Raw genomic sequence first — 25,628 nt, forward strand, 5'->3', positions numbered from 1 at the left:
TCACCACAACCTCCCCCTCCTGGGTTCAAGTGACTCACCTGCCTCAGCCTCCTGAGTAGCTGGGATTACAGGCATGCGCCAGAATTAACCATGCCCGGTTAATTTTGTATTTTTAATAGAGGTGGAGTTTCTCCATGTTGGTCAGGCTGGTCTCAAACTCCCAACCTCAGGTGATCCGCCTGCCTCTGCCTCCCAAAGTGCTGGGATTACAGGCGTGAGCCACCGTGCCCGGCCCAAAGCATTCATTTTTTATCGTTAGTTTTTTTTTTTTTTTTTTTTGAGACGGAGTCTCACTCTGTCACCCCAGGCTGGCTGGAGTGCAGTGGCATGATCTCTGTTCACTGCAAGCTCCGCCTCCCGGGTTCACACCATTCTTCTGCCTTAGCCTCCCAAGTAGCTGGGACTACAGGCGCCCACCAACACACCTGGCTAATTTTTTGTATTTTTAGTAGAGACAGGGTTTCACTGTGTTAGCCAGGATGGTCTCAATCTTCTTACCTCGTGATCCGCCCACCTCAGCCTCCTAAAGTGCTGGGATTACAGGCATAAGCCACCGTGCCTGGCCTATCATTAGTTTTTAATTTATGTAAGTGATACTGATTTTCACTTATGATCACGACATAAAATTTCCTTTTAAAATGAATTCATTTCAATTTATCTAAAAGAAATTGGGAAATAAGTAAATGTACAGGCAACTTGCAGATATGGCCAAAATTATAAAGGGGCTATACAAATAACTGAATTTAGAAGATTAAGGCCTTAATACTCGTTGAGACTTACTGACTCAACTGGCTTTCTTGCCCTGAAAAGTTAGGATAAAAATGGAGAAGTTAGTTAACTCTCTGAATTACAATAACCATCAACTAGATACCTTTTTAAAAGAATTGTAATACTTTCTTTATAAAACGTTATCTTTGGCCAGGCATGGTGGCTGACACCTGTAATCCCAGCACTTTGGGAGGCCGAGGTGGGTGGATCACTTGAGGTTAGGAGTTCGAGACCAGCCTGGCCAACATGGTAAAACCCTACCTCTACTAAAAATACAAAAATTAGCTGAGCACAATAGTGCACGCCTGTAGTCCTAGCTATCCGGGAGGCTGAGGCATGAGGCTTGAACCTGGGAGGTGGAGGTTGCAGTGAACTGAGATTGTGCCACTGCACTCCAGCCTGGACAACAGAGGAAGACTCTGTCTCAAAAACAACAACAACAAAACTAAAGAATATGTATTCTTGGCTGTTTCAGTGGTAGGGCTACCAAAGCCTGGTTCAGTGCTGCCCAAGGCAGAGGCTGGGTACTGGGTGAGCTCTCGGCTGGCCTTCCCCCACCCCACCCCCTGCAACTGTACCATGTACTGTTCAGTTCTGTAGAAACAGGAAGCTCAGGGTAACTCACAGTCCCCACCCCAGACACTTCTTCTTTTCAGGCACACTTCAAAATAAAATCAGGATCTACATACACTATAAGTTGGCGTGGTAGCTGAATATTGGCCCCCTAAAATGTCGATGTCCTAGCCTCTGGAACTTGTGAATGCAACCTTAGATGGCAGAACTGATTTTGAAGATGTGATTAAGTTGAAGATCATGAAAGGGGTTAAGTATTCTGGATTGTTTGGGTGGGCCCTAAATGTAATCATGAGGTCCTTATAAAAAGGACACAGGAGTTGTCAGAGCGAGAGAAGGCAGTGTGAGGACTGGAAGCAGAACTGGAAGGTTATGACCATGACCCAGGGAGACAAGAAGGGGACACCCCCTGCCATCTCCAGAAGGAACCAGCCCTGTGGACACCCTGCCTGTAAACCAGTGAGGTTGATTTTGGACTTCTGGCCTCCAGAGCTGTCAGAGAATAAATTTGTGTTGTTTTAAATCCCTCAGCTTGTGGCTACTTGTTATAACAAAAATAGAAAATTAATACAGTTGGGAAATATAAGTTTACCTAAAAATATTCCTTCGCAGCCGGGGGCGGTGGCTCATGCCTGTAATCCCGGCACTTTGGGAGGCTGAGGTGGGCGGATCACCTGAGGTCAGGAGTTCGAGACCAGCCTGGTTAATATGGTGAAACCCCGTCTCTACTAAAAACACAAAAAATAGCTGGGCGTGGTGGCACATGCCTGTAATCCCAGCTACTTGGGAGGCTGAGGCAGGAGAATTGCTTGAGCCCGGGAGGCGAAGGTTGCAGTGAGCTGAGATCATGCCATTGTACTCCAGCCTGGGCAACAAGAGTGAAACTCTGTCTCAAAAAAAAAAAAAAAAATTCTTCACTTCTGACAGGATTCTGCATTTGATCTATTATGTAAGACACTTACTATACATATAGACAGGGTCTCGCTCTGTTGCCCAGGCTGGAGTGCAGTGGTGCGATCATAGCTCACTGTAACCTTGAACTCCAGGGCTCAAGCAGTCCTCCTGCCTCAGTCTCCCAAGTAGTTAGTACTACAGGCATGCACCACCACACCTGGCTAATTTTTTTTTCTTTTTAGAATTTTTTTTTTTTTTTTTTGGATCTCACTTTGTTGCCCAGGCTGGTCTGAACTCCTGACCTCAAGTGATCCTTGACCTCCTTTGCCTTGGCCTCCCAAAGTGCTAGGATTACAGGAGCGAGCCACTGTGCCTGGCCTGTTTAAAATAATTCTAATGGCAAAGGATTCAATTAACAAGTCTCAAAATGGATGTAAGTTTTGCACAGGTATTCACATGGCTGAAGTACCAAACATGGTATCATGAATTAAGTGCGTAACATCTGACAACGGTAACACATGCTATTTTTGTATTATTGTGAACTCATGGATTCAAAATATATTTGATGTGTTTTGGTCCATTGCAATTATTATTTTATGGAGCAAATTGTCCATGTATCAGTCTTGCTGGCCTGAAGTCAAGGTGTCAGGCAGGCTGGTTCCTTCTGGGGGATCCAGGGGAATATTGGTTTCTTGCCTCCTTGGTTCACGGTTGCTTTACTTTAATCTCTGCTTCCAGGCATCACGTTGCCCAAAGTAAATGAGGTGGGGATGTATAATCCTCCAACTGGGAGGGACAGTCATGTCTTAACCCATTATGCAATCTACTGTGTCTCAAGTGTTTCTGACTTGAGAAGTTGGTGGATTGTGGTTGCAATGGTGATGTAGAGATGATTGGGAGACAACAGATTTAGTGGGTAAATTAAAATCAGATTTAGATTAACTGTAAAATGCCTAACAGACATTCAAAGCATCCATCAAGTTGGAAGTTGGGTAAGGAGGACTGGAGCTCAGTGGAGAAAATGGAACTAGAGTTAAAGATGTGGAATTATTGACTTTTAGATGGTATTGAAGTGATGGGACTCAACATAAGGAAAGGAGCCAGCAAAGACAGTGAGGAGCAATCTTTGAGGCAGGAGGAGTGGTATCATGGAAAGAGGGAAGAGAGTGCTTCAGGAAGGAGGAATGTTCATCTCTATCAAAATCCTACTGAAGGATCAGTAAAGAAATAATGGGATTGATAAGATCAAAGTCATCAATGATCTTGACAAGGGCAGCCCCAAGGAAGCTGTGGGTACAGAAGCTTAGTTGGAGTGGGGGGAGGAGAGACTAAGGGCACAGAAGGGGAGGAAGCCATCTAGACAATGCTTTCAAGGAAACTTACTGGGAAGGAATGAAGAAAAATAAGGCAATGGCCAAATCCAAGGAGTTTGCCTTTTTTCCTTTAAGATGGAAGACACTGGAATATGTATGCTGATAGGAATGATCCAGTAGAAATGGAGAAATCAATGCAACAGGAAGGAACAATAATTGAGAATAATGAGTAAGGACAAGGAGCAAAACTAACAAGATTGGCTTTAGATAGGTAAAGAATCCCTCTGTCTCTCTCTTTCTCATCACAATCATCAGTTCATTAGTATATGTTATTAATACACTTTTGGTTTCTAAGCAGCCTGCCTTTGTTCTCAGCATATTGTCTACATGTTCTCATGTTGTGCTTTATCCACAAAGTCTTAGCCTAGGGGACAGAAAGGGACAGTAAGTAGGGTTAGTGAATAACGGCACTTGTCTGAAATGTAGCTGACCTGGTTTTAACTCTGACTCAATTGCTTAGCAGCACCTTGGGTACATTATTTACCTCTCTAAGCTTTTATTTCCTAATCAGTAATATAAGAATGGTATTTATTTCTATCCTTATGTGATTGTTGGAGGGCTTGTACAAGACAGTATATAAAAAGTACTAAGCATAGTGCCTGAGACACAGGAAACTAAAAACTATTGTAAATTATAATAATAGTAATGATTGTGTAACTCTTGTATGTCAATATACATGTATAATATATTTTTCTTGTGCAGTGACAAAGTTATTGTCAGGCTAATGACTGCAATGACTATGTCTTTGTGGTACCTACATTATTGGTGAAAGAACTGAACACCAGCCAGATATTTATGTATTTATTGAGTAGTCTTCTATTTTTTTTCCAGAGGGGTAAAGATTATAAGCGGTTCCTTAGGCAACAAATTATAATGGCTGTCATTCACTAAATCTTGTATATAGGGTGGGACAGAATTGAAAAAACAATAGGAAGGTCTTGTAACTCCAACATATCTGTTCTCCTGAGGTTTGCATGTGTACATCTTATAGCACATTGATATTCAGAAGTTTCCTATTGGAATGCAACTATCAGACAATAAAACCACTACATTAAAAATGTACAGAATGCAGATAAAGAACTACTTAGAGGAAGATTTATAGCTTTAAATGCGTTCATTGAAAACATGTGAACTAAACTAATAACTTAAGAAGTTAAAAGAAAACAACAAGGAACAAAGTCTCAACCCAAAGAAAATAGAAGGAAGTCCATAATCAAAATATGAGCATAAATCAATGAACTAGAAAACAACAAAAATCAGAAATGATCAACAAAGAAAAAGTTGGTGCTTTCAAAAGATAAATAAAATAGATAAACCCATAGCACGACTAATCAAGAACAACTTTTCCAGGCAAGCTAGGAGTAGAAGGAAATATCTTCAACCCAATAAAGGATATCTATGAAAACTCTAAAGCAAAACCTCACACTTAATTTTGAAACATTAGCTGCATTCCTGCAGAATCAAGAACAAGAAAAGGATGCTTACTCTTTCTGCTTCCTTTTTGTACTAGAGATTTTAGCCAATGTAATAAGAAAAGAAAATGAGAAGTCAGACAAAAGGATTAAAAAGAAAGAGAATGGACTGATATTATTTGCATAAAACATAATTATCAGCATAGGAAATCAAAGAAATTCCACATGTAAACCAATAAAACTAATTAGAAAGTCCAGAAGGATCATTGATTACAACGCTGGCATTAAAAAAAAAAAAAGGTGCTCCTATACATGAGCAACACCAAAACAAATGTACGTAAATAGCAAAAAGATACTCTTCTCTGCACAAAATCATAAAATGTTACTGAAGGACAGAGAAAATAAAATCAACAGAGAGATACAACACATTCATATATGAGACAAATTGATGTTGTAATAATGTTGGTATGTTCTAAATTAATGTATACATTTAATGCAATTCCAGAAAAATCCAAATAGCATTTTCTCATCAAATCAGACTAATTCTAAAATTAATATGAAAAAGTAAGTTATAAAAATGTATTATATGGTAAAAGGAATTTGAGTAAGAAAAAAAGACAAAAAAGAGAATAAAAAGAAGTAATATATAAAAAAGAGAAAAAAACAAAGAGTGTGATTTAGAGTTATAATAATTAAAATAGTGAAGCATAAGCTAGACAAATGGATCAGAATAGATCCAAGCACCTATACTACTGAGGAGCATGATAGAAGTGACATTATGAATCAGTGGGAAAAAGGGAGCAGTGCAGCAGGCACAACATCCCTTTGCTAACCCCTTGGAGGGATGTAATCAGCTGTGGGACAGGATTATTTTACCAGGGTCCCACTGAGATACCGATTCTGTTGAGCCACCTCTCATTGTAGAATCTGGCTCAACACACCCTCTGATGATTGATTTGGCTTCTCAAGTACCTGGAAAGGAGGTACTCTAGGAAGGAGATGTCCGATTCTTATTGCTTGGAAAAAAAATACTCACTATTATAAATTTGTAAATGAACAGTCTCGTTTGCAGGTTGTATTTTAGGGCATAGCCTAGTTACTACTGATACGTGAGTGAGTGTGCATCAGATGATTTCCAGCCCTGAGGGCAAACTGAGATTGAGGTCTTAAGGGAATGGAGAGGGGGCTGAACATGAGGATGAGGATGCCAGGGTGGACACTAGGTGCTAAAAGGGAAACCGAGAAGATCTCACGTGTAAAATCTGTATTGCACCATTTCCCCACCAACCCTTCAGGAACATCTGCCTTGAGGCGTGATTTAAGCAGTTTCAATCCTTACAGTTTCTCTTGTGGGTGTGGGTGAGAAATGGGACAAGGATAAAGGGAATGGAATTTACAGTCAACTAACAAGGCTGTGGTTAGTTATTAGCTAAGTCAATGAAAACTATTCAGATTTATCTGCTTATCTTCCTCTTCACACCCAGATATGTGCGTGGAGTCAGCTTGCAGTACCTATCAATGACTGCTCATTTTCCAACTAATTTTTAAATCAGTTAGTGGAGCACAATTCTGCCTGCCACCTAGATAAACCATACTGTGGGAATGAGGGGGAGGGAGGAAGAAGAAGGAGGAGGAGGAGGAGGAAGAGGAGGAGGAGGAAGAGGAGGAGGAGGAAGAGGAGGAGGAGGAAGAGGAGGAGGAGGAAGAGGAGGAGGAGGAAGAGGAGGAGGAGGAAGAGGAGGAGGAGGAGGAAGAGGAGGAGGAGGAGGAAGAGGAGGAGGAGGAAGAGGAGGAGGAAGGGAGGGAGGGAAGGAAGAAGGAAGGGAGGAAGGAAGGAAGGAAAGAAGGAAGGAAGGGAGGGAGGGAGGGAGGGGGGAAAGGAAGAAGGAAGGAGGGAGGGAGGAAGGAAGGAGGGAGGGAGGGAAGGAGGAAGGAGGGAGGGAGGAAGGAAGGAAAGAGGGAGGGAAGGAAGGGAAGAAGGGAAGAAAGTTAGTTAATAATGTCAAAAATTGGGAAATATTTTTGAGAATGAAGAAGAAATGATAGGAAAATGTGTTTTCTCTCTCTAGTAAGAAAATAGATGCAGACATCAAAATACATTGATGTAGCTTACAAATTAGAAAAAAGTTTTATGAGAGCATTTGGTGCAAAGGATATACCAACGGTAGGACTAGCTGGGACAAACTTTATGGAAAGCAATTAGATATTACATACCAGTGTTTAAAACCAGTGACTCATGGATCTCAGGTTAAGAAAATCTTCATGCACAAAGTGTGGGAAAACCTCTGCGCAGAAATGCTAACTGTAGCAGCATAACTCAAAGTAGCTAAAATATAGAAAACACGCTAAGTATTTGACAATAAGAATGGTTTAGTAAATTATAATATGTATATAAGAGCACTATTAAGCAGCCATAAAAATGATATTTATAAAGGATTAATAACATGGAGATGTTTTTCCTTATGTTAAATGAAAAAAGTAGAAATCTGGATAAATAGAAGTAGAGAAATAAGCCAGGCACAGTGGCTCTTGCCTGTAATCATGGCACTTTGGGAGGCTGAGGCAGGCAGATCGCTTGAGCCCAGGAGTTTGAGACCAGCCTGGGCAACATAGTGAGACCCTGTTTCTAAAAAAAAAAAAAAAAAAAATTAGCCACCTGTGGTTGCGCACACCTGTAGTCCCAGCTACTTCGGAGGCTGAGGTGAGAGGATCACTTGAGCCTGAGAGGTAGAGGCTACGGTGAGCTGAAATCACACCACTGCACTCCAGCTTGGGCAACAGAGTGAGAATGCTAAAAAAAAGAAAAAGAAGAAAAAGTAGAGACATAGGAAAAATATAGAGAGAGAATGTAATAGCAAACATATAAAAAATACACAGTGAAAAAAACCAAGAGAATGACAATATAAAGAGAGTAGGCTTTCTCCCTGATAGTTCTAGCTTTTGTGCCCAAATTTCTGTGAAGCACTTCAAAATGTGTCTTGGAAAGCCAGCAAACCTCACACCCTGCTTCCATTTCTTAACAAAACGTTTTGAAAAGGCAATTATTTAAGGATCTGTTTCTAATAAAGCTTCCGATGTGGCCATGATGTTTAATGGAATTGCTGGCAAAGCCCATGAGGGCATGCGTGTTGAAACCATAGAGTAACCATGGCAAAGGGCCTCTCTTCTCCAATGTGCAGGACACTGGGTTACCTGGCACCGCTGGGCTTCACCTGTTCTTGGAGCATCACAAGTTTTTACCCCTGGAGAAGCGCTATTTGCCAAGGGAATCTTTCACCATTTCAAATACATCCACTGAAGTTTTTGAAAGCAGTGCACCAAGTAGGAATTCTTTGGTAGTGACAGTGAGGATGTAATGACCGAGCGGAGGGGCCGGCTGGACCCTTCTCCTGCACACCACAGGAGAAGCCAATTCCTGGAGGTAGATAATTTCTGTTTTCTTTTGTTCCAAACCTCAGTCAGTTTGACCATCTCCTTAATATGTGATTCATCAAAATACCAATTTATCAGAAGTGGCTTCTTTGGCTAAACAATGGGCTAAGCACCCATGTTGAATCCATCAAGAGAAGGTTTTAGGCTGGGCACGGTGGTTCACACACTTTGGAATCCCCACACTTTGGAAGGCCAAGGCAGGCGGATCGCCTGAGGTCAGGAGTTCAAGACCAGCCTGGCCAACAGGGTGAAACCCCGTCTCTACTAAAATACAAAAATTAGCCTGGCGTGGTGGGCGCCTGTAATCCTGGCTACTCAGGAGGCTGAGGCAGGAGAATCGCTTGAGCCCAGGAAGAGGAGGTTGCAGTGAACTGAGATTGTGCCACTGCACTCCAGCCTGGGTGACAGAGTGAGACTCTGCCTCGAAAATAAATAATAAATAAATAAATAAATAAATAAATAAATAAAGAGAAAGCCTTGAGGAAGATAAAATACAGGAAATTTTCCAGCCTTTACAAATTGAACCTGATTTTGAGAATGATCCAGTGGCCCGATTTATTTTGAGAATGGACAGTAAATTGTACCGCTGGCACAGCAGTATTTGTGTCCTGTAGCGTTTAATGACCTCGTTGGTTGTGAAAATAAAACCGAAAGATGCTGTCTAAAGCTATATATACTTTCTGTTGTCGTTTTCCAACTTAAGTATCCTTGATGTAAACAATGACAGGTGTCCATAACCATAATTGTGGGAAACATTTGCATTAATTCACATCAAAGGAAACCCATTGTAAACATCAGAACATGGTGATCGTCTGATCATTGCGTATTACCTGCTTTACACAGTAGCATCCCTGGCCTCCTGCACTTTTTTAAATGGCACAGGACTTAATAACACAATTTGACATAAAAGGATTTTTTTTACAATGACAATTTTTAAAGTTACAGCAAGATATTTAAAAACAACTTTTCATTGACCCTGTAAGACTCACTCATAAGTATCCCTAGTGTACCACTTAACCTAGGGCTGCCATATCAAAGTACTACAAACTTGAGTGGCTGGAAACTCCAGAATTTATTTATTTATTTATTTATTTATTTATTCATTTTTTGAGACGGGGTTTTGCTCTGTTGCCCAGGCTGGAGTGTACTGGTACAAAAGTAGCTCATTGTAGCCTCAAACTCCTGAGCTCAAGTGATCCTCCCATCCCAGCCTTCCAAGTAGCTGGGACTATAGGTGTGTGCCACCACACCTGGCTAATATTTTTTTTTTTTTTTTTTTTTTGAGACAGGGTCTTGCTTCATCATCCCAGCTGGAGCGCAGTGGCACAATCTTGGCTCACTGCAACTTCCACCTCCTGGGTTCAAGCGATTCTCGTGCCTTAGCCTCCCGAGTAGTTGGGATTACAAGCCTGCCTGGTTACCTTTTGTATTTTTTTTTTTAGTAGAGATGAGGTTTTGCCATGTTGGCCAGGCTGATCTCAAACTCCTGACCTCAAGTGATCTGCCTGCCTTGGCTCCCCGAAGTGCTGGGATTACAGGCACGAGCCACCACGACCAGGCTCACCCGGCTAATTTTTTTACACTTTGTAGAGGTGAGGGTCTTGCTGTGTTGCCCAGGCTGGTCTCAAACTCCTGGGCTCAAATAATTGTCCTACCTTGGCCTTCCAAAGTGCTAGGTTTATAGGCATGAGCCACCACACCCAGACCACCAGAAATTTATTGTGTCACAGTTCTGGGCCAGGAGCCTGAAATTGAGGTGTCTGCAGGGCTATGTTCCCTATGAAATCTGTAGGGGAGAATCCTTCCTTGCCTCTTCCTAGCTTCTAGTGGTTGGCTGACTATCTTTGACATACCTTGGCTTGCAGTGGCCTGACACCAATCTCTGCTTTCATAGTCACTCGGCACTTTCCTGTGAATCTCTGTCTTCACATGGCCATCTTCTCATAAGGACACCAGTCATATTGGATTGAGGGGCCCCTGTACTTCAGTATGACTTTATTTATTTATTTTTTTGAGACAGAGTCTCACTCTGTCACCCAGGCTGGAGTGCAGTGGTACAATCTTGGCTCACTGCAACCTCCTCCTCCCAGGTTCAAGAGATTCTCTTATCTTAGCCTCCCGATTTGCTAGGATTACAGGCATGCAACACTACCCCTGGCTATTTTTTTGCATTTTTAGTAGAGATGGGGTTTCACCATATGGGCTAGGCTGGTCTTGAGCTCCTGGCCTCAAGTGATCTGCCTGCCTCAGCCTCCCAAAGTGCTGGGATTACAGGCATCAGCAGCCGTGCCTGGCCTATATGACTTCATCTTAACTAATTACATTTGCAGTGACCCTATTTCCAAGTCACATTCTGAGATTAGGACTTCTGGAGGTTAGGACTTCAACTTATCTTTTTGGTGGTGATACAATTCAACCCATTACAACTGGGGTTCATTGATTTTGGGTTAAGAACGTGTTGAGACAGTCAGAGGGCAGCAAGGGGACCCTGAGACCAGAGGGTATGAAACAAGAGTGCAGAGAAGGAAGTGGTAGGGAGACAAATGGAACCCATGTTGCTATTTTGCCCATAAATTTGGTGGCAATGATCTCTCCCTGCAGATTTGGGTGCAGGAACTTGAGTTACTGATGGCAATATTTGGCCAGTTTCCAGCTGAAGATGCTCAAGTTCCAGATTTGAGTCGAGGCTACAAATGCTCAAGTTCCAGATTTGAGTCGAGGCTGCAAAGGGAAGTTTGTGGTGGTGTCCAGGACACTCTGCTGATGCCATGTGTTTGAAAATGTCTGAATTTTGTGCATAGACACACTAGCAGTATTTTCATAAGTGGAGTTACATAATTAGGGCATGGACTTGCATAATAATTAGCATGTGTAATTAGGCACAGACTTCTTGTCCTTTAGACAATCAAGACATCTAATTACAAAATTAAGATGTAATTATGTGGTCCAAGGTCTACATCTTTTTTTCTACCCATTAGAGATTACTTTTAGAAAATAATTCAAAAAAGCTGATGAAGAAATGAACATAGACACGAATTTGAGGATGTTAAAGAAAGTGTTAAGTGGGCTGGTAAGTTTCCTTTGGTCTTTCCTCTCTGTTGTAAGGGGAATTATTTAAAACATTATGGTCCACTTGAAAGAATAACTTTTACCAACTGTGCTGTCAACCTTCGGTACTCACACTAATGAAGAGGAGTGTTGGTATGACTAATCCTTGGCGTTCACGTGTGGCTCTTGAGTGTGGTTTGTAATCACACTTGAACATGGACCTAAATGTGACGTACTGGGAATTCATTCAAACCTATTAATGGAGCCATACGGTGGAAATCTTAGGATAACTTGGGATAGAGGACATCCTGCCTTCCCGTTCTGCCCTGGTTCTCCCTTGTGACCACTTTAAAAATCGACTCATTTGGCCAGGTGTGGTGGCTTATGCCTTTAATCCCAGCACTTTGGGAGGCCAAGGCAGGAGGACCGCTTGAGGCCAGGAGTTAAGACCAACCTGGACAATATAGGGAGACCCTGTCTCTACAAAGAATCTGAAATACTAGTTGGGAGTGGTGGCACATACCTGTAGTCCCAGCTACTTGGGAAGCTGAGGCAGGAGAATCACTTGAGCCCAGGAGTTTTAGGCTGCAGTGAGCCTCCACTGCACTCCAGCCTGGGTGACAGAAATAAATAAAGAAATAAATAGCACATTGCTCAGAATAATGCAAACCAGCACTTAAGCTGTGTTTCCTTTCCCTGAATATTTGAGTATTTTTATTTTAAGTACTCCTTATTGACTGCAGGTGGGAAAGATCAAAGAGTATAGCAAATACTCTGTCCTTTGAAAAAGAGTGATTCTTATAGCAGTAATAGTTTGAGTTTCAATACACACAGAAAGCTAGATTGTACTGATAGTCTCCATGTTTTTCCTTGCCCTTAAATTGTGATTTGGCTGATCTCTGCGTGATGCTAAACAACCAGTTTGACTCATTAATTTTGCTGAACTAACTGAACTTTTGACCTAATTGGCTGCTGGTTAGGGATCAGAGCCATATGTGCAGGTTTTTCTAAGCCAGTTCTGACTTTAGCTGTGTTATCCCTCTGTTCCTATAAACTGTTGAAATACCATAGTAATTCCAATGTTTTGACAGCCACACTGCACTTCTCAGACTGCCGCTTTCTCCTGGGAAGTGGCACAGAAATCTGTCGGACCACGCTTCCTGATTTTTGGTTAAGAAAATATGCTTCCCATATGGTTGCGGGCCGAGAAAACAAAGACTTAAAGAGGTTGTAAGCATTTGGTGATAGGTCTTCTCCTCATGGCGCCTTCCCTCCGTTCCTATTTTTACTATTCTCTGTAAGGCCAGGGAATGTGATGAGGGACAAATTATGTGTGTGGCAGGGAGGGGTTAGTCTTGACCATGAAAATACACACATTTGCACAGGGAGCTTTTGCCATTGTTAGTTTTTTTACCTTGCCTTCTGAGCAATTGCTCGTGATAGATTTAGAGGCAAAGGAAAGGAATTGGAGAGAGTGGCATTTTTAAAACAATCTATTAAGAGGAATTCTAGGTCAGAGAGGGGCAGTTGGACTACATCATCTGTAAGGCATCTCCAGCTCAGAGGTTTCAGGATTCGTTGATCTCCAGCAGGTCACTCAACAGGAGGTTGACTGGACTCCTATTCTACTCACTCAACTCTAGGCCTCCAATTTTTTGGTTCTTAGATGTGGTGACTGGAAACCTATTCTTTTGCCTTTACTTCCAGAGAGCTCAGTAATTCTAGTTCCTAATAGAGCCTAAAGCATGAGTGCAACTTCATTTCTCAGCTTTTGAAATCTGCTTTTCCCTCCAGGTACTCCACATCAGCATTCTCAAGACTGGAGAAGTTAGGCCTCAGACATCCCAAGCCTTCTCCTTTCATTGGAAACTTGACATTTTTCCGCCAGGTAAGGGCTGTCTTCCATTGGCTTCCATCATAAAATATGCTGAGGGCCAGGCACAGTGGCTCATGGCTGTAATCCCAGCACTTTGGGAGGCCGAAGCGTGTGGATCACCTGAGGTCAGGAGTTCGAGACCAGCCTGACCAACATGGTGAAACCCCGTCTCTACTAAATACAAAAAATTAGCTGGGCATGGTGGCTCATGCCTGTAATCCCAGCTACTTGGGAGGCTGAGGCAGGAGAATCACTTGAACCCAGGAGGTGGAGGTTGCACTGAGCCGAGATTGCACCATTGCACTTTAGCCTGGGCAACAAGAGCAAAAATCTGTCTCAAAAAATAAAATAAAATGAAATAAAATAAAGTAAAATATGCTGAGCCCAGGACAGGCTTTCTGCATGAAACATTGGTCTTGTCCAGGTCCCCACACCTTGAGCAGTAAAGGTGTTCTGTGATGCCATGAGCCCTCCTCTACTTATATGAATTGTTATGTGATGGCAAGAATCCATCTCTTATCACTATCAATATGTATTGAGTCCTGTCATCCATTCACTCACCCATTTCCCCCAAACCCCATATATTGTATGTCTAAATACGTCAGACCCTAGAGTGTAGAAGAAGAGGTTACTTGTGCCCTCAAGTGCACTGTCAAATGATGGCATGCAACACCAGATGAGATACACCCTAGCACTAAATAGGGTGGTATAGACGGTAGCTGTAATCTTCTGTCAGAGGAGAGGGTGATCTGTCAGGGCTAAAATCATCCTAAGGAACTTCCTGAAGAAGGAGGTCCTTCAGGGCCTGTGGACATAGAGACGAGGGTACACACACCAGGTGGGTGGCACTATTTATGTGAGTGTACCAACGTGAGAATGACAGCACAGGTTGACCAGCAGCCTGGACTGACTAGAGGCCAAATGCTAAGGTGCACTGGGCAATGCAGTTGGGTGAGAGAAAGGGGCACTAGATGCTTACAGGGTAGGAAGGCACGTGAAGAACTATTTGTGTGTTAACATTTTTGAGGACAGGGACATTGAAATGGACAACACTCTGCAAGGGAGAAGAACATAGGTTAGAGCTGTAGAACCCAACTGTTGCTGAAGTCCAGGGGTGAAGCCACGATGGCTCGGTCTGGTCGGTGATGAGAGTGAATAGAGATGGATAATTGGGAGCAAAATGAAGAACTCTTGTGACAAATTAGTGTAGAGAATTCAAGGCAAAGTGAGTCAAACATAAGCCTAAGCTTTGAGCCAGGGGAACAGGGAGAATGGCTATGGGTTGACAGAAATAAAACGTTGGGTGGGGGAGTGGTTCAGGGAGAAGACAAGTTTTATTTTAAGTATGTTGCTTGGGATTTGCCAGAGTGACATGCCAGTGGAAATGGCCAACAGACATTTGTAGATATAGGTCAGGACTTTATGGTCTACGGTTATTTTTTCTCACATTGGGTTTTCTCAGAAGCCAGATGGCTTATTCTGCTAAGTCACGGGGACACTGACTCCAGACCCAACGCCAGGAGCCGGAACACCCTGCATGGGAAGAACCACCAAGCCAAACAAAGGCAGGAAGACTAAATTTGGGACAATCCTGATAATATCCCTTCAACATCTCTAGAATTTCCCCCATCCCTACCTCCGGAAAGGCTGGCCCTTGGCACTAGATAGAAAAGAAAGCTGCTCTTTCTGTCCTTTTCTGCCCCCACCTTCTCAATTATTTCTTTTCCATTCCTTTCTGTGTCCATCACCTTTTCCATGATTTGTCATTGTTGTTTCTGTCTTCCTAGCATTTTTAAACACCTTCTCCTCTCATCTCTCTCTCTGGGGTGGGCGGTTCACAACTTTTAAGCTCACAAACAACAGTCTCAATGAGGCTTCCTGTTAGCCCCTTGAAACAAGTGTGAAGAAATTTTAAAGTGTCAAGATAGAACAACAAACCAGATCGGAAAGCTAAAGAAAATGCATTTCACACATTTCTGGGGGGAAATGATCAGTTGTATTCCGTGGAATAATTAATTTGGTATTAACATTCTGAGGAAAACGGCGTAGCTGTCGACATGAGGAGAACGCTGTGCTCCCGCCTCTGGAGAGCCTCCACATATGCTCCTTTGCAGCCCGCCATCCTCACAGCTACAAGCCCTGCCAAGTTCTTTCTAGAACATAGTAATTTCGCTGACTATTTTTATATTCATATATACTTTCCTTGATATATGGCAAGCTTACGCTGCAGAATTCAGTAGATTTCATGAGAAAGGCATGTGTTTCCATGCAGGACATCCACACTCCTAACCCCCAACTTTCCACCTTCATTCCACCCCTTATGTATCCACCCCATACTCCATTCTCACAACACAAATCTACCATTTGCCACCCCCCACACCCACCCCAACTCATGAGTATTTTCAGGTCTAGTCCATTCCCACCACACAATGGATCTAGCATTTTCCACCCCTCCGTCAACCCAGCTACACTTCTTTCCCATTATAAAATGTGTCTAGCCAGGCACAGTGGCTCATACCTGTAATCCCAGCACTTTGGGAGGCCAAGGCAGGCAGATGACCTGAGGTCAGGAGTTCCAGACCAGCCTGGCCAACATGGTGAAATCCTGTCTTTATTAAAAATACAAAAATTAGCTGGGTGTGGTGGCACATGCCTGTAATCCCAGCTACTCAGGAGGCTGAGACAGGAGAATCGCTTGAATCCGGGAGGTGGAGGTTGCAACGAGCTGAGATCACACCACTGCACTCCAGCCTGGGTGGCAGAGCAAAACTCTGTCTCGAAAAAACAAACAAAACAACAACAACAACAAAGTGTCTAGCATTTTGTCTTATATATCTTAAACATGTTGAATTTAATTAAAGTTTAACTCGAATGGATCATGATAATTCAGAATTTGTGATAATTTTGATAGACTCAGTAGAAGTTACATATAGTGGCAGTAAAAAGGGCTATATGATAATGCTAAATCAAATTTCAGAGGGCAATGTTATAGTTGAGAAAGCAAACTTTTTGAATATTTTAGCAGCAAGTATACATAAGTAGTTTAAGAACTGGTGATCTCTCCTGTCCAAGACTTTTACATGGCAATTTTTTTTAAAGCCTTTTGTTTATTCCAATGTTTCAAAGTACCTGAAAGCAATATAACTTCCATTCTTTTTTATTGTTTCTGTAATTGTATTCTTGCTGTTCCAAATTGTTTACTGAATAAGTTTGAATAATTGGAATTTTGCTTAATCTTATTCTTACTATAGTGCTGTGTTTCCTTCAGGGTTTTTGGGAAAGCCAAATGGAGCTCAGAAAGCTGTATGGACCTCTGTGTGGGTAAGAAGGAAACTCAACGTTTCTATTATGTACGATATTTTCTATTATGTACGATATTTTGATTTTCACGTGTTGAACTGATATAGAAGAAATGCCAAGATTAGGAATGTTGTATGTGTTTCTATTTTTCAAAGGGCCCACAAAGAGGGAGTCCTGCAGTACAGACAAGGCTTCTAGAGAAGACCCTGGGGTTGCCCACGGGGGGACTCTGCTGGCCTGAAAGAGTACCACTTTCCAGCCTTTGCAGCCTTGCTGGGCTGGGCACAGCATCATCTCCCGTTGCTGTGCTGAGGGGTGTTGCCACGGGATGTGGTGGCCTCTTTGCCTCAGAGCACAAACTGTCCAACTTGCCTTGACAGTGCACAGCAGGTCTTACCCCATGAGCATATCTGAACCTTACTCAGACTCGGGTCCTTCAGCCCATGGGGAAAGTGTGCTGCCAGCAACATGACCGTGTAATTTATCACCCAATCCAGTTCCCTTTTGAAAGTGAAAGGAAGTGCTATTAATAATTACCCCAGGATAACCTTATCACCTAAGACTATCCCGGATATGCTGGGGCATATGGTCACCCTAGTTCTTGGCCGTGTAAAGTAATATAGCCCTTCTCTTTATTTTCTGAATTTCTCCTTTGTATGCTCCTTTGTTTCTAAAATTCCAGATTCTGGTGAGCAAACCCACGTTCAGACCACTTACTCTATTCAAGATTTAACAGGCTTGAATTGTATTGATTCTCAACATGTGTCTTTCCACACTGAAGTCCTAATCATTTTAGTTGGTTTTCACGCAGCTTCTCTTCAGCCACTGAGCGATTTTTTTGCAGCTTTTCGTAGACCTCTGGGTCAGCGATCACTTTTGTAGGTGCATTAAAGTTCTCCTGTGTTGCCGACGTACATTCCAATGGGCTCCAGTGATTTGGGGGTCCTATCTCCATAGTATTCATGATGTCTGTTCTCCTGATACCCATTTTTGAAAGGGATTGGCTTGTCCTCTTTATGGAAATGGCCCCTCCTAGGAAGCCCACAGTTTTGGTCAAGTTCTTCTACCTACTTTTTGGTTTGCTACGTGGTCCTGAAAAAGTAATAAATTAAGATGTTAAGATGCTCTCTGTATTAGTCATTGCTGCATAATGGACTACCCCAAAACTCAGTGACATAAGCAACAATTTATGATTTATCATGTGTCTAAGGGTCAGCTGGAGTTGGCTGGCCTAAGCTGCACTTGGCTGGATGGCTCCGCTGGACTTCTGGGTGTATCTGCTGGGGAGGACCTCATGTGGGGCACCAAGGCTCTGCATGTCTCTCATCCTCTTTGGAAGTGTAAGCTCGGCTGGCAGGTTCTCATGGTAAGGGCAAAGACTCAAGAGAGCAAGCCTGATGGTGCAAGAACATTATACATTTCTGCTGAATCATTTCAGCTTATACCCTATTGGTTAAACCAAGTCACACGGCTAAACCCAAGATGTGGGCAGGAGGGCACTGTGGCCACTTTGAGGCCAAAGCAAGACACCTGGCCCAGCCTGACATTGATGGAGCAGGGAGGTGTACTCCTCGGATGGACGAGCGGGGAGGCAAGGCGTGTCTTTAAATAACAAGCAACCCTGCTTCACTCCCTAAGATCTCTTTCAACTTGGCCTTCACTTACTTTTTCATTTTTGCTTTTTGGTGCATAGCTTCTTGCTTTAAGCGTGATAGGTGCTCGATAAAGGCTCAAGAAATTGAACTGTCTACATTTCTCTTACCGTTGTGTGGTTCTATTGCTTTTTGTTTTTGTTTTTTGTTGTTGTTGTTGTTTGTTTGTTTTGCAATAGAGTCTTGCTCTGTCGCCCAGGCTGGAGTGCAGTGGCATGATCTCAGCTCACTGCAACCTCTGCCTCCTGAGCTCAAGCGATGCTCCTGCCTCAGCCTCCTGGGCAGCTGGGATTACAGGCGCCCGCCACCATGCCTGGCTAATTTTTGTATTCTTAGTAGAGACGGGATTTTGCCATGTTAGCCAGGCTAGTCTCAAACTCCTGACCTCAAGTGATCCACCCATCTTGGCCTCCCAAAGTGCTGGGATTACAAGTATGAGCCACTGCACCCAGTCTATTGCTTTTTTTTTTTTTTTTTTTGAGACGGAGTCTCGCTCTGTCGCCCAGGCTGGAGTGCAGTGGCGCGATCTCGGCTCACCAGTCTATTGCTTTTTAAAGGTTCTCATTCCAGCTCTTTCTTTCAAACAGTCTCATTCTGCAGCTGAGTTGGCAATGACTTGGAGACTGTCTCATATGCCTCTGAGACACAGCACTGACTCAGAATGACAGTGCCTTCACCAGAATCAGAAAAAGTCCTGACTGAGTTTGAATTCTAGGAACCACTTTTCTTGAGTGTTTCTTGTACAGATATCCAAAGTAGAGCCTTTGGGTATTTAAAAATAATTTGTAAATGCCAAATTAAGAGTTTAAAGGGCACTGTATGAACTAGTTGTGTGTGTGTGAGAGAGAGAGAGAGAGAGAGAAGGAGAGAGAGAGAGAGAATGACAGAGAAAAAGAGAGAGAGAGAAAAGGAGAGAGAAAGAGACAGAGAAAGAGATAGAAAGAGATAGAGAGAGATAGAAGAGGGGGAGAGAGAGAGAGAGAGGAGAGAGAGAGGTGGAGCGAATTGGTTTCCTTGACAACAGGATATCCAATCAACTTTTTCCTCCAACTTTAACTGAGTTAACACAATTTATCCTTTTCATTTCAAGAAAACCTAAATCATAGAGAATGATTTCAAATGAGGTTATAGAGATCAAGATTGCAGTATCATCTCCATTCTTTGTTCCCACTTCTAGTGAAAAGGAAAAAAGAAAGGTGATGGCATAATTTCTTCCTATAAAGCTATCAACTTTTCTCCTTTGGAAAAAAAAAGATGAGCCATAAAACACTGACTTCTTTTTAAATGTGTCTACTCCCAGATTTAGAGGCAATATGGTGGCGGTGTAAAAATGAAAGGGTTGAACCAATCTAAATCGAATGTCTTTTCTAACTCTAAATGTTATTTTCTTACTGCTTAAATTTTAGCAACATAGTTTCACTCATTGGGAATGGACTATGCTCAATGAACAGCAAAGACCCTTCTTGCAGAGAACAATTTAATTTAAATTACATTAGTTTTTATTTTATTTTTTATTTTACTTTTATTACTAGGAAATATAATCAATCCCAGCTTGGTCTTCTTAAAAATTGAAATAATAGATTGATTCATTATTTGACAAGTGAAATGCCACACTCTACACTGTTGATGCCGTGTAGAGATGTATTGGGCCTTTAGATGACAGCTTGGCACTGAATGTTGGGAGAAAAATGGACAGGGCAAATCTCCTCACTGCTCGAGACTGGAAAGCCAACTATGATGGCAATGTATATTTATTATCTGGTTGTCACCCTAGCAATTCAAGAGTTTGAGGCTCAAAACTGGAAATTGACTCCTTACTCAATTCCCCTCCCACTCCCTACCATGGGGACAATAGGGCTGGAGAAGGTTTCCATCAAGATGGGCAGACAACATCAATGTTTATCATTACCACCAACACTGCCACCACCACCACCATCACCACCACCATCATCGAGAACAAAATATCTTCACCAAGTGTCTACTTATGTAGCCTGCTTTGCCAGGTTCTGTGTAAATAAAACTACACACGGTGTCTCTGCCTTCTTTGAACTTGAATGTAAAGCAGGAGGACTGGCGTGGATACCTATACAGCTATTAGTCGTGGTGGTACGTGATAAAAAACTCTCCTGAATTGCACAGCAACCTGGCCATGTAACACAAAGAAGGCAAGGCTTTATTGCTTTAGATAACCTTCATCAATTAATGATTACTTGTTATCTCCTTCAGGCTGAGAATGAGCCCCAAGTTGGATTTATATTCCTTCCCAAACTCTGTAAGAACAGAATCAACATTATCGTCATACATTGGTGATTGAATATGGTTTATATTCAATATATACCAATATTGAATATAAATATATATTGATATATATTCAATATATCCTGTTTGGATAGAGATTATATCCCCTCCAATTTGTAGCTGGACTTTGTAACCCAGTAGATGATAAACCTTTATTAATTACTTATAGTTAAGTAAGAATAAATATTTACACAGTGCCCTAAGTTCAGGTCATTAGCAACTCCTAAAGGCCGCCATTCAAAGCTCCTTTTCCCTTTATCTCATTTTGTGTGTGTGTGTGTGTGTGTGTGTGTGTGTGTGTGTGTGTGTGTGTTTTGTTTTGTTTTGCCTTTTGAGGCAGAGTCTTGCTCTGTCATGCAGGCTGGAGTGCAGTGGCACGATCTCAGCTCATGGCAACCTCCACCTCCGAGGTTCAAGTGATTCTCTGGTGCCTCAGCCAACCAAGTTGCTGGGAATACAGGCATGTGCCATCACGCCCAGCAAATTTTTGTATTTTTGGTAAAGACGGGGCTTCAACATGTCGGCCAGGCTGGTCTCAACTCCTGACCTCAAGTGATCCAACTCCCTCGGCCTGCCAAAATGTGGGAATTACAGGCGTGAGTCACCATATCCAGCCTATCTCATTGTCTTTTAAATGCTTGCTCTATAGTTCTGCTTTTACTTAGCCTTATCCCCGTTTCTTCTTCCCCCAACATCACTTTAGTTTTGATCTTGGCTCCCTCTTGTTGAACTTGACTTTTACACTTCCTGGCATCCATCAGCTATGCCGCTCCATTTTGGTAAGTGGCACCTGCATCCCTGGATCCCTTCATGATGCCAGCCTTGTTGCATAACCTCATATACTCCCATCAGAGCATCAAGTTGTAGGTAGGTAAGCATGAACTTTGTACATAATTCATAAAGTACAAATGAGTATAAGAAAAAAGTACACTTGCTCCCACCCTGGGGCCCATCTGCTCCTTCACAGAGGCAACCTCTCTTAAAAATTTCTTTATAGTCAAATGGATCATATATGATACATGCTGTTCTTTACCTTGCTTTGTTCATTAATGGTATTTGGGAAATTGTCCCATTTTGCTTCATTCATTCTTGTTAAATTAGGTAGTGTTTTTAAGGATTTCCTTGTATGAATGTATCCTAATTTTTAAAACAAGTTCTCAATTGATAAACATCTCTTACTTTTACAAACACCATCGCAGTGAAGATTTTCATATACACATCATTGATGTCTGGGGTAAGTATGCAAGATAAATTCCTAGAAATGGAATTATTAGGTCAAAGATGGTCTATGTTTTTAATTTCGATAAATATGACTAAATTTCTCTTTCTAGGGTTTATGTCAGTTTAGATTCCCATAAATATGCATATGTCCCTCCCATACTTGTCATTAAAATGTGTGGTCACAATTTTAAATCTTTACCATTTGATGGTATATTGCTGCAGTTTCGATGTGCATTTCTCTAATTATGAGCAAGTTTGAGCATCTTTTCATATGTTTAAAATGCAATGTATTTTGTTTTCTGAGGGATCCTTTGCCACTTCTCTGTTGGGTTATTGATCTTTTCCCACTTTATTTGTAGAAGCTCTTTGCATATTAAAGAAAGTAGCCTTTTATATGCCTTAAATAGTTTCTCCTCTTTATCATTGTCTTTGACTTTGCTTATCATATATTTCTTCCAATCAGAAAACATTTGTTTTTGTGTTGTTGACTTTAATTGATTTTAACAGTGTCTACATTTTGCATCTTACTCAGAAAGGTTTTCTCCACCAAGGATATTTTTTCATAAACTTTCATTTTTCTAGTTTCTTTAAATTTTATTTTTAAAATATAGAATGTTTGATATATCAGGAATTTATTTGGAAGATGGAGTTAGGGACACACCCTTTTTCCCCCCCTCCAGGAGGGTAGAGTTCCATCTGGAAATTCATCCTTTTCCAAATGATTTGAAATGTCACTTTTATCATTTATTAATTCCTAGGTGTATTTCTGATTTCTCTATTCTGTTGTACTGCTTAATCACAAGCCAGGGCTGCACTGAATATCCTCGTTTGGATGTCACGTTTGTAGCTTCTTGTACCTAGCTGCAGTAGGGTGTTCTAAGAACATCTTTGTAAGTATCAAAGCCTGAAGCAATCTATCTCCCAGGGAACCTTAGGTCCCATACTGAAAAAAAAAATCAATTTAGCAAATAAATAAGCCTTTGGTATAAAGGGCCTGACACTTAGCTTCAAAGTTCACACCACAGGAGGGGGAGGTGTCTCATATGCCTCCAAGTTGGAGGTTTTTAGCACCATTTTTAAAATTTAATTAGCTAGCATGCATGAACTAATAGCACCTTGTCACCAGGCAGTGAGGAAGTTGAGAACTTTGGGATACATAAGGAAAAGCATGTGGCATCAGCAATCAAAATAACAAGGTCGTTTCAACACTTTTTAAAGCTCAGCTTCCATGGTGCCATCCATTAGGAGAGTCTGTGTTCTGGAAGTGACTAAGGTGTGAACACTTTTCGTGTAATTGCTCTTAACCATCATGTTTATGTACTATTTAGATGGGGTTGAAGAACAGCATAGAGATGGTTTACTTTAATACTGGCAGATGGCTATGTGAGACTTCCTGGCCTACCATCATGGATCAAGAACAACGGGAATTGAAGGGCTCTGAAAGACTCACCTGTTGGACATGTTTGTTCTTTGACTTAGAAGATATGAGACATCTGAATACACTGGGCTTGAACATGTGGCTGAGGATAGGGTAGGGTGGAAACTATTGCTGATTTGTCCAAGAAAAGACAAGTACTTAGACTTAAATTGGGCAGCTGACACCTGGAGATGGCACTTGTTTTTAAACTGGACTGAGCTCAGTAGAATCATAGATGTTGAAGAAAGGTGGAAATTAAGCCACCGTTGTGGAAGAGCTTCCCAGACACTGATGCTAAGGAGTCAAACTTTAGGTTTTTGCTGCTGATAAAAGTGCAAGCCTCAGTATGAGGCTCATTTACTAAATGTTTGACCCAAAAATGTGGCTCAATTCTAAGAGGAATTGATGAAAATGAAAATATACATAGTATATTGAGAAAACACAATACCCTTGAAACAGTGGAATTAAGCACAGAAGTCCTGAATTATTCTAACATCTCTGGCCATGAGGCCAAACTGTGGGCAATATTTGGGTCCCCTAGCTTGGTGAAAGCTGGCTTTCATGAAAGCGTTGAAAGCAAAGCTGTGCATTGCCGTTCCCAATAATGTGAATCTGAAAGCAAAATTCATGTGAGACCATCATGATGGTCTGTAGGTCATAATTATTGAGCATCATTCAGTGAGTGAAATATCAATATTCTCACTGGTCAAAATAGCTTAATCATGAACACTAAGCCTGTAAGAGCACCTTTTTTAAATGATTGGAATTCACTAAACTGCATTATTGCATTTTAGGGGGGCCATTATTCTCTAAAAGTGAATGCCCTGACATAGTGTGCTGATGTTTTAGGAGGCCTTTGAGAATAGGAAGAAAGTTGTCCACAGGACAACTATCACCAAGCCAAGCACACTGCCCAGTAGGTGGAATTATCAAAGGAACAATTGTCCACAGATAAATAAGTGGCTTAGACCAAAGAGACAGAGGAATTTGATTTGAGTCCCACTTTTCTTGAATGAACCATTAATAGACTCTTCACCCTTACCTGCCACCAGCATGATCTCGTTATACCAAATAGTGTATTGCTACAAAGCTTCCATGCTTTCTTATGATTTAAGACCACCTTCTTTCCCAGTCTTGATCCAAAGACCCTTCTGAAGTTTACCTAATTTTCTGGACTTCTAACTTCTTCTTTCAGCCCATTTATTTTATACCAGTTCATTTCCCCCCATCCTCTTTCTATAACAGCATATGGGTGATGGTTGCTGCATATTTTAATGACTACTGCTATCTAAGTCTTTGTGACCCACCCTCATAAAGATCAAGAACCTGTATTAATTCCCTCTTCTTTGGGTAGAAGCATCCAACAGGGCATGATAGCTTACAGTAGAAATCTGCAGTTAAAATCCCAGCTTCAACTTTCTTTCTCTCTACTGCTTGTTACCTTAATGGATTTAGGCCAATCACTTCCCCTCTCCAGCTTTAGTTCTCTTAGATGTAAAATGTGGGATTTGGACTAGGTCGGTGATTTTGACACTGTTTAATCATGAACCTCAGTAAATAATATATTAACCACATTGTTATCTAATACACACACATACATTTGAAATAAAAGTTTTACAGAAGAACACCTTATTCACAGTATAAGAACCACTTTGATCTATTCTATTGTATTGTATTCTATCTGTAAAAAATAAAACATTTACAAGTTGGTCACAGCCCATTAAATTGATTTCATGACCACTAGTGAGTCAAAATCAGCAATTTGAGAAGCAAAGGGCCAGATGATATCTGAAGTCCTTTCCAGTTGTAAACTGGATGACTACAAACCAATGAGACAGCCCCTATCAGTGTGCATCAGAAAATTGTTAGAGGCCATTGTGTTTGCCTCTTTGTGGTTTAAGATTCTGAGAAACCTCTGTCAAAGTCAGTAAAAGCCCACCGTTCACAGCTGAAACCGAACTCCAGTGGAAGCACTTCTCCTGCAGAGACCAGCTCCCGCACCTGACTGTGGGCCCAGGCTGGGCACCTCCCACCCAGTAGCACCTTCTTGTTCTTTAAAATCACAAGTTCAACTATTATTGAAATTATTTCCAAGCCTTAACTCGGAATCATGCTAAGAAGCTAACACAAATATATTAATTGACCATTTAAGACATCTCTCTGTAAGATTTTTGCATTGGGTGTAAATATCTAAGTAATTCATGTGGATATCTTCTCCCAGGTAGGTGTGGCCAGCTGATTACTTATTCCCAGGGAGCTGGAGCAGCAGGAAGGAATGGCCTGGAAACTGGAAATAATCCCATTTGCCGGGGTAAGCTAGCTGTGGAAAACTGACCAGGCTGTGGGTACCGAGAGAGCAGCTTC

At 41.7% G+C, this 25,628-nt stretch overlaps 1 protein-coding gene and 1 long non-coding RNA gene across 10 annotated transcripts in view; both read left to right on the top strand.

Moving 5' to 3' along the window:
* TBXAS1 (thromboxane A synthase 1) overlaps positions 1–25,628 on the top strand; it is a 242,052-nt gene that overhangs the window by 80,699 nt on the left and 135,725 nt on the right. For 8 of the 9 annotated variants that reach the window (NM_001130966.5, NM_001166254.4, NM_001166253.4 and 5 more), the window contains 2 exons: positions 13,295–13,388; positions 16,645–16,697. In NM_001130966.5, the coding sequence (NP_001124438.2) occupies positions 13,295–13,388; positions 16,645–16,697 (147 nt within the window). Of the gene's footprint in view, positions 1–13,294; positions 13,389–16,644; positions 16,727–25,628 lie in introns of all 9 variants that reach the window. The other variant, NM_001314028.4, reaches the window with a different exon arrangement.
* On the top strand, positions 21,117–24,984 carry LOC107986853 (uncharacterized). Its single transcript, XR_001745384.2, has 2 exons — positions 21,117–21,493; positions 23,176–24,984. It is a non-coding gene; the product is annotated as an uncharacterized LOC107986853 (long non-coding RNA).

This window comes from Homo sapiens, chromosome 7 (assembly GCF_000001405.40).
Source record: "Homo sapiens chromosome 7, GRCh38.p14 Primary Assembly".
NCBI classification, from domain to species: Eukaryota; Metazoa; Chordata; class Mammalia; order Primates; family Hominidae; genus Homo; species Homo sapiens.